The following is a 12649-nucleotide window of genomic DNA, read 5'->3' as shown; positions in this document are numbered from 1 at the left end:
ATTATTTTTTCAGTTTTCATTTAAACTACATGTCTACTTCTACATTGCTTAAAAATGTGTTTAGCCTTTTTTGGATGAAAAATATAAAAACATGTAAATAGTCTTGTAATTATTATTCTACAAATCAAGATGGTGGTAAAACATCTTACAGATTAAATATTAGTGATTTGTAGATTTATCATGGCCAGGCATGAATTACAGGCCAGTGAAAAGTCCCACTCTTGCTTAGTAGTCATTGAGTGATGTGTAGTAGCTACAGCACAAATACTTTTCAAACCACCACATGTTTTGGGCTATTTGGCCATTGCCTCTATGAAAGCTGATTTGGGCCAGGGACCTACTTTTTCTCCCCCTTGATCTAATTAAAACTGTTGTGTCTGTGTATGAATAAGATACTGTGGATAGACAGCTCCAGTTAAATCTTGCAAAGTCCTGACCATTTAAGAGAATCTAAACTCAAATGTGATCATCTTTACTCTTTCTTGTGCTTATCAATTATAGGTCACTTGACTGGTGGATAACAGACAAGTGCAATATGATTAATGGAACAGATGGAGATTCTTTTCACCCACTAATAACCAAAGATGAGGTCCTTTATGTCTTCCCATCTGACTTTTGCAGGTAAAAGCTTTAAAGATAAGTTCTTTTTCAAAAATAAGGTCTTTCACTGCAAGACCACCAAAAGCATGAGGAATATATGCAGACACACTTATTATGCATGGATATTTATGCATAATCAGTGATAAATGCTGATGGCACATCGAGACAGTATAGTGTACTGGTTCACAGCACAGACTTCTGACTGTTGGTTTGAATCTTGGCTCTACCACTTATAGCTGTGTGACCTTGGGCAAATTACTTAACCACTCTGTACCTCACTTTCCTTATTTGTAAAACAAAGATAGAAATTGTTAACTATGTTAGAGGTTGTTATGAGGACAAATGAGTTAGTATTAGTCAAATACTTAGCCCAGGGCCCATCACACAGTAACCAATATTAAGTGTTGGCTCTTAGTTACTATGATATGCTCTGTCAAGCATCAACTGACCTGGTCTACTTCCAGTCAATAGGTAGTCTCTACATGGAAGCCAAATAAAAGATACTGTTGTCCATATTTCAGCAGAGTGGTTTCCTCAGGGGAGGCAGAGAAGGAATGGAATCAAGAGCATTACGTAGACAGGTTCAGTTATATCCATAATATAATTTTTATTTGTCTAAGTGGCAGATACAAAGGTATTTGTTAGAGTATTTTATCTCTTTCTGGTGCCTAAAATTTTTCATTAAAAAATGCTGTAGGGGTGGTTTGGTTTGTGCAGTGAAACCACCTATGTTATTCACAACCTTGCGAGAGATGTATCAACAGCTCTGGTTCAGAGATGAAAAAGTGAGGCCCAGAAGGCTCTTCCGGCCAGCCTTCAAAGGAAGGGCTGAAGGCTCAGTGGTGACTGTGTACATCAAAGTGGTTAGGCACTATGCAGTGTAAGCAGTGGTCATATTACATGGGACTATGTTTGAAATCAGTAAGAATGAAAGGCAGAATTACGTTGAACTCCATTTAAATAAATGACTGGGGCAAAATATGGAATCTGATTTTTCTTGGAGGGGGGGATTGAGTATCAAAGTGTGTATTCCAATAAAGTATCTGTCCAATGTGACACTTTTCAAGTGCCTAAGACCCTACGAGGCCACGGCCATCGCTGCCTGTTCTACCTTAGCTTTGGCTCTGCCGTGCCCTGGCTTCCCTGGCTTTGCCGGTGGCCCGTCCACACTGGCATATGTCCATGCAGGTCTAGAGAGGCCTCTTATTTCTTTTTTATGTGAGTCTCCATTCTAAATGTTATCATCTTAATTTTGTACCACATATTGTTTTTTCTTGTTTGGATGATATCACCGTTGCTACAATAAACACCTTCCACTACAATTCATCTTCTGCTTTATTACACGTTGAGTTGACAGAATGCCTTCCAAACATTCCTTTCTACTTACCCTGTGAGCTTTTGGCCATGTTGTACCTGAGAACTGTTGCTAACTTGCGGATTTCGGGCAGATTACACTGACCAGAGTCCACATTCACTTTTTATTCTTACATCCTAACAGGTCAGTGTATATTACTTTCAGTGACTATGAGAGTGTACAGGGACTGCCTGCCTTTCGGTATAAAGTTCCTGCAGAAATATTAGCCAATACGTCAGACAATGCCGGCTTCTGTATACCTGAGGGAAACTGCCTGGGCTCAGGAGTTCTGAATGTCAGCATCTGCAAGAATGGTAAGAACTCAGAGAGGGGACATGATAGGGGTGTCAAGAATGCAGAAGGATTGGAGTTCAACAAAGAATATGTAGCTGGGCGTAGTGGCGCACACCTACAGTCCCAGCTACTAAGGATGCTGAGGTGGGATGATCACTTGAGCCCAGGAGTTCTCAAGTCCATCCTGGGCAACATGGCGAGACCACTGTCTCTAAAAAACAAAACAAACAAAAAAGAATATATTGTCAGCCCAATAGAAAGATCAGTTTCTTTCAAGAACAATGTTTCATAACATGGCTATTGAATGGTAAAAAAAAATCATGGCTTTTCTGTGATGCTTTTTATTTCTAGAATGCCATGTTGTGTTTTTTTTTCTGGACAGTGGTTTAGAAGTCTTAACAGTAATAATAGCTCATGTTTACTAAGCACCTGATGTATGCCAGTCACTGTCCTAAGTGCTTTACATATTTACATGTAGTTAATGCATGCAAAACATTAACTGATTTCATGTTCAAAACAATGCTAAGGCTGGGCACGGTGGCTCATGCTTGTATTCCCAGCACTTTGAGAGGCCGAGATGTGAGGATTGCTTGAGGCCAGGGGTTCAAGATCAGCCTGGGCAACATAGCAAGACCCTGTCTCTACAAAAAAAAAAAAATTAAAAAATTAGCTGGGTGTGGCGGCACACACCTGTAGTTACAGCTGCTCAGGAGGCTGAGGCAGAGAGATTGCTTGAACCCAGGAGTTCGAGGTTGCACTGTGCTATGATTGTGCTGCTGCACTCCAGCCTGGGCAATAGAGTGATTCCGCACCTCCCCACCAAAAAAAAAAAAAAGCTAAAAGAAAAAGTGGACAACTCAGTTTTAAGAAAGTACGTATCATGGCAAAGATTCTCAGTGATTTTGAAGCAGAGTTAGTTTTAAACCCTGACACAAATGTCCCAGTGTTTCTTAATGTCAGAGCTACTCTGCTCCTTTCCATGAATGAGGCAGAATTATCAGTGGCACAACTGACAAAACTATTTTCTTCATCTTGAAGAGTAGTTTTAACAGCCACATGTTGCAGAATTATTCACAATGAACTTACTAGATAGTAGACATTCAGCGGCCTGTTTTTATAATTGGGGAAACTAGGGCTCAGAGAGGGAACGTGATTTTGATGCGACTCCTCCCTCTGAGCAGATCCCTGGCGGAACTCAGGGTCTTCTCATATTTGCCCTGTGATTCCCTCTTGGGCTGTAATTCCTCTTTAAAATTTCTCTGGAGAGCTCTCTGTGTAGTCCCTTTCTCCTGAATAGTAATGTGCTCACTTTTGCTCCCTTATCTATCTCATTTTAAAATCTCCTTTCAGGCCTGGCATGGTGGCGTGTGCCTGTAGACCCAGCTACTCAGGAGGCTATGGTGGAAGGGTCGTTTGAGCCCAGTTTGATTCTAGCCTGGGCAACATAGCGAGACTCCATCTTTTAAAAAAGAAAAAAAAAAAAAGAATAAGATATCATTTTGGAATAAGTCTGAAGTCAGCAGTATACCTCCTGATCCTTGTCTGACAGGGCAGTGACCCCCACACCTGGCTTTACATCAGAATTATCTGGAGAGTTATTAAAAATATATTGGTGAGGCATGGTGGATCATGCCTGTAATCCTAACACTTTAGGAGGCTGAAGCAGGAGGCTCACTTGAGGCCAAGAATTTAGACCTGCATGGGCAACAGGGAGACCCCATCTGAACAAAAAATTTAAAAATTAGCTGGGCATAGTAGCATACACCTATAGTTCCAGATACCCAGGAGGCTGAGGCTGGAGCGTAGGAATTCAAGGCTGCAGTGAGCTATGATTGCAACACTGCACTCCAGCCTGGGCAACAGAGTGAGACCTGGTCTCAAAAAACAAAAAAATTATATATATATAAAAAATTGTTTATATATACGTATATCATATATATGTGTATATATACATATATATATACAACTGACAAAAGTATTTTTCATCTTGAAGACTAGTTTTAACAGCCACATGTATATATTTATGTATGTATATGTTAATATATTTGTTAATATATGAGTATATTAACAAATTTTATAGTTATATATAAATATGCATATATTTGCATATACTTATATTTGCTATATTTTAATATATATGTATATAGTATATATATATAGGTATACACACACACGTGCGCAAGTGTGCACACACACTCATGGTGCACACACATGCATGTATGTCCCAGGGTCCCATGTTGGATATACCAGGGCCCCAGAATCTACACTTTTAACAAGTACTCCAGCTGATTTCCATAAAGATGGCGTCTAGGTATTTGGGGACCATTGTGCAAGGGAACATGGTACCCTTTACCTGGAGATAAAGACCAAGGGTGAATGGGAACAAGTTCCTGGTTGTGATCTCCCCCATTGCCTTACTGGTAATAGTCCTGAAACAGTGTCCCTGCCCCCTCATCTGGTGTGCATCTGGCTCAAAGCAAAAATGTAGATATATTTTCTCTTGCTGTTTTTATTAAATTCTGTTTCCTTAAGAAGCTGATGCCAGAATCAACAGAAGTATTCTACTTTACACATTTAAACTTCTTGCTACAATCCTTTTCCTCTTCCCTCTTAACGTATTCCCGAATTTGGACTGAAGTGAAACTCCCCAGGATTATCCTCCAGTGTTTTGAATTCTCCAGGGAAACATTTTGGATAGCAGGATGAGTGTTCTGGAGTCAGGCAGATTGGGTTTGAGTCCTATTCTATTTGTTGGTAAATTGGCCAAAGTTTATTAAGGAGGGTTCCAGACATCAGTTTTCTCATTAATAAAATGGAGGTGGTTATAGCTTCTTGAGGTTGTGTGAGAGTTAGAAATAATATATATAAAACACTCAGGACAGTAGCCCCTATTAAGCCCTCAACAGATTTAAAAAATACATTTTCAAGGTCATTATAGGTCACAAAGAAGGAAGTCATGCCTTTGTGGAACTATTCAGCAGTAAACAGCAAAATGCATGTGCATGTGAGAGATGAGGGATGAGTTCCTTAAGCCATGGGCTGGTGAATATGTAAGCAAATTTAAATAACTTGCCGACAAGCTCCTTTCTCCAAAAATGTATTTCCCTGGCAGCAATTGTTGGGTCCCTCTCTTCTTTTCAATAGCCAGATCTAGAATAGGTTTCCTTTAGTAACTTGTTTCCCTATTTGGTTATATATATATATATATATATATATATTTAAATTTACATAAGCACTTATTTGGTTCTTAAAATGAATAGGAAAGGAAAAACCCCAGAATCTTTGTGATCTGGTTAGAGGCTGGGTGTATAGCACAACCAGGCTAACTCTTAAAAAATTATGTAGGCCAGGTGTGGTGGCTCAAGCCTGTAATCTCAGCACTTTGGGAGGCTGAGGCGGGCAGATCACTTGAGGTAAGGAGTTCAAGACCAGCCTTGCCAACATGGTGAAACGCTGTCTCTACTAAAAATACAAAAAAATTATCCGGGTGTGGTGGTGCATGCCTGTAGTCCCAGCTACTTGGGAGGCTGAGGCAGGAGAATTGCTTGAACCTGGGAGGCGGAGGCTGCAGTGAGCTGAGATTATGCCTGTCTTTGGTAAAAACAAAACAAAACAAAACAAAAAACCACCAAAAATTTTTTTTTAATTTTAAAAAGGACAAGAAATAAAAAGTCAGTCCACTTACTGATAGAGAATTGTAGTTGAAACTAGTGCTTTGAGGTACAACACCCTTCATTCACTTAGTATTCTGCCTTCATAGCCTGATGGCTAGCTGTCCCTGGGTAAATTTTGTAACTTCTATGAACCTCACTTTCTTCAAATGCAAAGTGAGGCTAATAGTTCTGACTTTACTGGGCTGTTGGGAGCATTAAATAAAATAATGTGTATGAAGCACTTATACTTTAACTTCAGTAAATATTTGTTGAAGAATAAATAATTTAGCCTGAACTTCAATATATAATGTGGAATAAAAAATTGGGGGTAAATGAGATGTCAGAAAATGAAGTATAAATCCTGAACTAGGAGGTAAAGGATGGTGTTTTAGCCTACCCAAGTTAATTTATATGTAGCTTTTTTGTTTTTCTTTAGGAACCAGGCTGTGGCCAGGAACTTTTATATTCAGCTCAGCTTAGATTTTAAAAACAGCATCATTCATTTCTGTTTTCCTTCAAATGCAGGTGCACCCATCATTATGTCTTTCCCACACTTTTACCAAGCAGATGAGAGGTTTGTTTCTGCCATAGAAGGCATGCACCCAAATCAGGAAGACCATGAGACATTTGTGGACATTAATCCTGTGAGTACATACTTCCTCCTGGTAAAAGAGCATATGTTTTATTCTGTCTATACATTGTTCACCAGTTTAGTCCTGAGCCTTCTTTAAAAATATCCTTACTTTCATATACATATTCAAGTGGGAGAAATTCAGCTCAGTGCTGATGGAGGCATTGTCTCATAGCCCTGTAATTAGAAGGCTGAATTTTGTGGATTGAATAGCAGAAATACGAGCAAACCTGCCTTTAACAAAAAGCAACAGTGAAAACTCAGTTATTGGAAACTACTGATGTACCCATATAACCTGGTCAATCTTCTGATGCTAGCCTTGGACCTCAACATATATTTATTTCTCCCCTTGGGACACAGATCGATAAGGTTAAAGATGTCCCTTTGCTTCCTCACTGCCAGGAATATTTTGGTTGAAATATGAATATGTATATTAACCTCAGTCACTTTTGGCAAACTTCTTTCTACAGGTTATTTGAGAGTTTATTATATTATTAATTGTAAAGGTATCAGATATACATAGAGGAGACATACACACGTGTGTGTGTGTGTGTGTGTGTGTATAATACACATTTACTCCTGTATTCATAGACGAGAAAAACAAAAACCATGCTAACCATGTCTTCATTTTTGGAATTTGAACATTATGGACCAATAAAAAAAAAAAACAAGAACATTCTTTTAGCACAGTATTTTATGGGTACTTCACACTCTTAGCTGCATACATTGCATTTGTATCTGAGAAACCAGTGATCTTATGCTCTGGTGAATAAAATCGTGTGTGGTTTTCTCCCTTTTCTCTTAGCCATCAGCTGATCAGTTCCCTTGGATCAGCCAAACTGTTAGCAGTGCTTGTCACCAAGGGACGAACACAGTCTTATAACCTTAGTGCAAAGATGGAGCTGCCCTAAGGATGACAAGTGCTGCAGCTGTGCCCCATGGCTACGCTAGGCGGGCCCTATACTAGGATGCCACTCTCTGGCAGTGACCACCACCCTCTTCTTAGCTCTCTGGACAACTGCCTGGAAATCCAGACCTGACAGGCTATCTTTTAGGCCTCCTTCCTGTTGGATCCCTTCTAAGGCTGTGCTATTCAGAGTGGCAGCATCCTGGGAGCTTGTTAGAAATGGCCAGTCTACTGAATCAGAGCCTGCATTTTAACAGGATTCCCAAGGACCTACATTCATACTCATGTTTGAGACACACTGGTCTATCAGCCACCTAATACAACCCATGGTTCTCATTCTGTTCTGGGGATCACTTTTACTTGTTTCCACTCTGCCTGTCACACATGGTAATGGTCACCTTGTTTATGAGGACTACACAGAAATGGTGCTCTATTGAAAAAGTTGTTTGCAGTTTAATAAATCCTAATGTTTCCTTTTCACTTCTCTGATTTGCAGTTGACTGGAATAATCCTAAAAGCAGCCAAGAGGTTCCAAATCAACATTTATGTCAAAAAATTAGATGACTTTGTGTAAGTTTTGCTTCTTTCTATGGAGGGGACAGCAGTTTTGCTCCATTGCCCGTCTGGTGGGGTTGATGTCAGGAGGAGTACAGCCTACTTCATCTAAGCCTGCTCACCCCTGCCCTTCAGGGATGGGGCATGATCAGCATTTTCATGGGTGCCTTGGTCTTGGAATTTACTTGTTTTATTTAATCATACACTTACAGAGTACTTCCCATGGATCAGGTATTGTTCTCAGCACCTTATGTGGATTCACATATAACCTTGTATTATCCCCATTTTACAGATGAGGAAACAGAAGCAGAGTGTTTAGGTAACTTGGCTAAGCCTTACTATCTAGTCAACTTTTATCCACTCCACTAAGCCTTTCCCTCATGCACCTTGACTCTCTTGGTGTATTAGACTGTTCTTGTGTTGCTATAAAGAAATACCTGGCTGGGTACAGTGGCTCATGCCTGTAATCCAGCACTTTGGGAGGCCAAGGTGGGTGGATCACAAGGTCAGGAGATCAAGACCATCCTGGCCAACATGGTGAAACCTCGTCTCTACTAAAAATACAAAAATTAGCTGGGCATGGTGGTGGGTGCCTATAATCCCAGCTATTCGGGAGGCTGAGGCAAGAGAATCGCTTGAACCAGGGAGTCGGAGGTCACAGTGAGCCAAGATGGTGGCACTGCACTCCAGTCTGGCGACAGAGCAAGACTGTGTCTCAGGAAAAAAAAAAAAAGCGGGGGGGGGGAGGGAGGGAGGGAAAGGAAAGGAAATACCTGAGATTGGTTAATTTATAAAGAGATTTAATTGGCTTACAGTTCTGTAGGCTGTACAGGAAGCATGGTGCTGGCATCTGCTCAGTTTCTAGGGATGCCTCAGGGAGCTTTTGCTCATGGCAGAAGGAGAAGCAGGAATAAAGCACGTCACATGGGGTGAGCAGGAGCAAGAGAGAGAGGAGGGGAGGTGCCACACACTTTTAAATAACAGATCTCATGATAACTCACTATCACAAGGACAGCACCAAGCGAATGGTGCTAAACCATTCATGAGAAATCCACCCCCATGATCCAGTCACTGCCTACCAAGCCCCACCTCCAACACTGGGGATTACATTTCACCCTGAGATTTGGGGGAACAAGTATCCAAACTATATCACTCAGAGACTTGAGACAGAGTCTCTTCCTCTTCCTCTCTCTCTATTCCCACTGATCCCACTTGGGGCCAGCCATAGCTCTCATTTGTATAGTTATAATCTCTTGAGTCTAGCCTTACTTCCCCATGCTGCAGCTTAATTTGGATTCCAAAGTATAATCTCCTGCTCAGACTTTTCAATGGGAATTTTTTAGATATGAGAAAATTATGATATAATGTTGAGTGAAATAAACAGGATGCAAAACTATGCATAATATATTTATCTATAAAACTTGGCTTGTTTACCTCATTGAATTTGCCAGATTTAATACCAGGTGTCATGGCTCTTTCTAAGAAGTAGGTGGTTTACAAGAATGCATTTTGTCATCTGCATATCTATTTCCGAGGCAGTATAATTTAGTAGTTAAGAGCTGGAATCTTAGAAGCAAAGTGGAATTACATTTGTGGCTCCATCACTTACTTGTGGTGATCCTAGGCCTCTCTGAGTCATAATTTTCTCATCTGTAAACCTGGGACAGTAATACCTACTGTAGGTGACTACTCTAGGAATTGAATGAGATAATATCCCAAAAACACCCAGCACAGAGCTGGCACGTGGTACATGCTCAGTTGGCTCTTGTTGCAAAGACAGTACTTCAGTGGCCTAGTTACAAAACACTCTGAGGAGTGACAGTTTTGTTCTGTCGACTGGAGCCTTCCCTGATGACTCTAAGGAGACTAGTCATCATTTTAAGGAATCTGCCTTCAGTATCTTGTGTTTTGATAAACGTACAGCACATGGAATTGCTAGACAGACTGGAATCTAACTTTTGGGGTACATGTTTGCAAAGATAACTAAGAAATCAGCAAATTCTGGGTAATTTAAGAAATAAGTGTACTAGAATCTTCATATAAATGTGTCTGTCCGGGAAAGTGTGCCATTGTGATGAGGATGTTTCTGAAACAATCTCATCCTTTGTCTTTGTAGTGAAACGGGAGACATTAGAACCATGGTTTTCCCAGTGATGTACCTCAATGAGGTAAGTCCTGAGACGGAGGGAGCCACGGGTGTTTTCAGACTCAGAAAAAATCCATTATGATGTCTACTGTTGTAGTTACATGTAAGTTATGACAGAAGGGCAAAAGATTTTTAAAACCTGTTATTCCTCAGAAAATTTCACTTAAATGTTCACATGAATCTGCCTGTGTCTGAGAGCTGATTTGGAGAAATGATGGAAAGAAATTTTCCTTCTCAAGAACACTATTTGGGCAAAACTCCCTTCTGGGGAGCTGCTCACGTAGGAAACAGAAACAGGTAAAAGGAGCCATTGGCAGACATTGTTGAAGCAGGGAAATAGCTCACACTCAGATAGATGCCAGCTAGCCCTTTGTCTCCCCCTTCTTTGAAACCATGCTGGTTTAAGACACCTATGATAAATTCTTTTCTGAATCACATATCACGTTTACTGTAGTTATATCTCCTCAGTTTCTCCTGCTTCCGCCCAGTTTGAGGGAAAAAAAAAAAACGCAGGTTTTTTTCTTCAATAAATTCTTGATTGGCAAACTTCTCCTTTTTATTATTTTTGTGTTTCCTAAAAATACTTGCTGTTTGTAGAATATTGAATAACAGAGATTAGCAAGAAAAAGAAAAATTAAAATCACTATTCACAAAATCTGTGTCAGCCTGATAATATTTTTATTTTATTTTACTCAATGTGTTGTACAATTTTTTCCAATAACAACTTTAAAAGGTAATCTAATGTTTTACATTTTATAAAACATGTGCTCTTTATAAAATTCTTAGAAATTTTTTTAAAAATTGATTTAAAAAGTAAATTACTGATAAGTCCCTCTCTATCAGAGGCAGGTGCAGTTCAGATGTCAACTCCTGATATTTTCTGGTCTTGATATTACATAGTTGAAATCATACGATAGATACAATTTTATATCTTTTTTCTCCATTTAGCATTATATTGGTATTCACATTTACAAACTTTTAAGGGTTTGTTATTACAATTCTAAGATGAGGTTTTTATCGTTTCATAGGAAAAATTCAAGCAATATTTACCAATTTATAGGATCTCTTTGCAATTGCTCCTGATCATCCATGTTCCTGTTTGTGGGCAGGGGCATGAAAGATCTTTTTGAAAATGCAGAAGGGCCCTTTTCTGCCAACTTCTGTTCAGTAGTGGCATATTTGAAGTCCCTCCACCCCCAACTTCTAATTTGCTTTTTTGTGAAAGACTAGATTAAGTCCAGGTGTGTGGAGTGGAACCTTGTATTTTTGCTGCCTCCTAGGAAGAGCGTGATTATTCTCTTCTCTAGAAAAATAAAATATTAGACCTGGAAGTCTGGAAGTGACATTGGAGACTGTTGCCACACCACCTTTTTACCGAGGAGGAAACTCTATCCAGTTATTGGAAAAAATGTCTTAGAACCCAATCCACTGACTCGGTCCAATGAAAAAAAATGCTTTCTTTTCTTTTTTTTTTTTTTTTGAGACAAGGTCTCACTCTCACCCTCTACAGTGGTGCGATTTTGGCTCACTGCAGCCTCGACTTCCCGGGCTCAAGTGATCCTCCCACCTCTGCCTTCCAAGTAGCTGGAACTACAGGTGTGTGCCACCATGCCCGGCTAATTTTTTTTTTTTTTCCTGAGATGGAGTCTTGCTCTGTTGCCCAGGCTGGAGTGCAGTGGCCCAATCTCAGCTCACGGCAACCTCTGCCTCCTGGGTTCAAGCAATTCTCGTGCCTCGGCCTCCCAAGTAGCTGGGACTACAGGCGCCCGCCACCACCCCTGGCTAATTTTTGTATTTTTAGCAGAGATGAGGTTTCACCATGTTGAAACTCATGACCTCAAGTGATCTGCCCATCTCGGCCTCCCAAAGTGCTGGGATTACAGTCATGAGCCACCATGCCCAGCCCCAGCTAATTTTTGTATTTTTTGTAGAGAGGTGGTTTCACCACATTGCTCAGGCTGGTCTCAAACTTTTGAGCTCAAGCAATCCGCCTGCCTTGGCCTCCCAAAGTGCTGGGATTATAGGCGTGTGCAACTATGCCAGGCCTCCAGTGCAAATTAAGCCTAAACTAGGCCAGAATTGTTGCTCATTATTTCTATGGAATTAAGCTCTTCAGATACCTCACTCATTACACTAGGTGGTAATTCCTCTGCTCTGCATACACTAAGTGTTATTCTAGTACATTTCCTTCTATCAGCAGTCTCTGGAATTCTAGTTAGCCCACAACTTTGCTGAGCACTTTCTGTAGAGGGCTGTGGTCCTGATTACTATAGATGTAACCAAGAAAGAAATTATACTTTCCACATACCATTTTTGCAGTGTTTCATTTATTTATTCATTTAATCAGCCAGCATTAATCAAGCACCTACTGTGTGCTGGGTGCTATACCCAGTGTGGAGGTGACTGAGGTTAAGTCTTGCCTTCAGGGACTTCACAGCCATTGCAAGACAAACAGTTACAATGCAGAGTGCAAGGACAATGATGGAAGTAGAGAGTGAGATGGAAACTT

At 40.3% G+C, this 12649-nt stretch overlaps 1 protein-coding gene across 4 annotated transcripts in view; it reads left to right on the top strand.

The window, feature by feature from the left end:
• The window catches only part of SCARB2 (scavenger receptor class B member 2), a 75796-nt gene that overhangs the window by 58121 nt on the left and 5026 nt on the right, over positions 1-12649 (top strand). For all 4 annotated transcript variants that reach the window (XM_047416429.1, NM_001204255.2, NM_005506.4 and 1 more), the window contains 5 exons: positions 502-621; positions 2099-2268; positions 6427-6545; positions 7936-8009; positions 10111-10162. In XM_047416429.1, coding sequence (XP_047272385.1) covers positions 502-621; positions 2099-2268; positions 6427-6545; positions 7936-8009; positions 10111-10162 — 535 coding nt within the window. The remainder of the gene's footprint in view (positions 1-501; positions 622-2098; positions 2269-6426; positions 6546-7935; positions 8010-10110; positions 10163-12649) is intronic.

The sequence above is a fragment of the Homo sapiens genome, chromosome 4 (assembly GCF_000001405.40).
Source record: "Homo sapiens chromosome 4, GRCh38.p14 Primary Assembly".
Taxonomy (NCBI): Eukaryota; Metazoa; Chordata; class Mammalia; order Primates; family Hominidae; genus Homo; species Homo sapiens.
The sequence above is the reverse complement of the archived record's forward strand: the minus strand, read 5'-3'. Positions and strand labels throughout refer to the sequence as shown.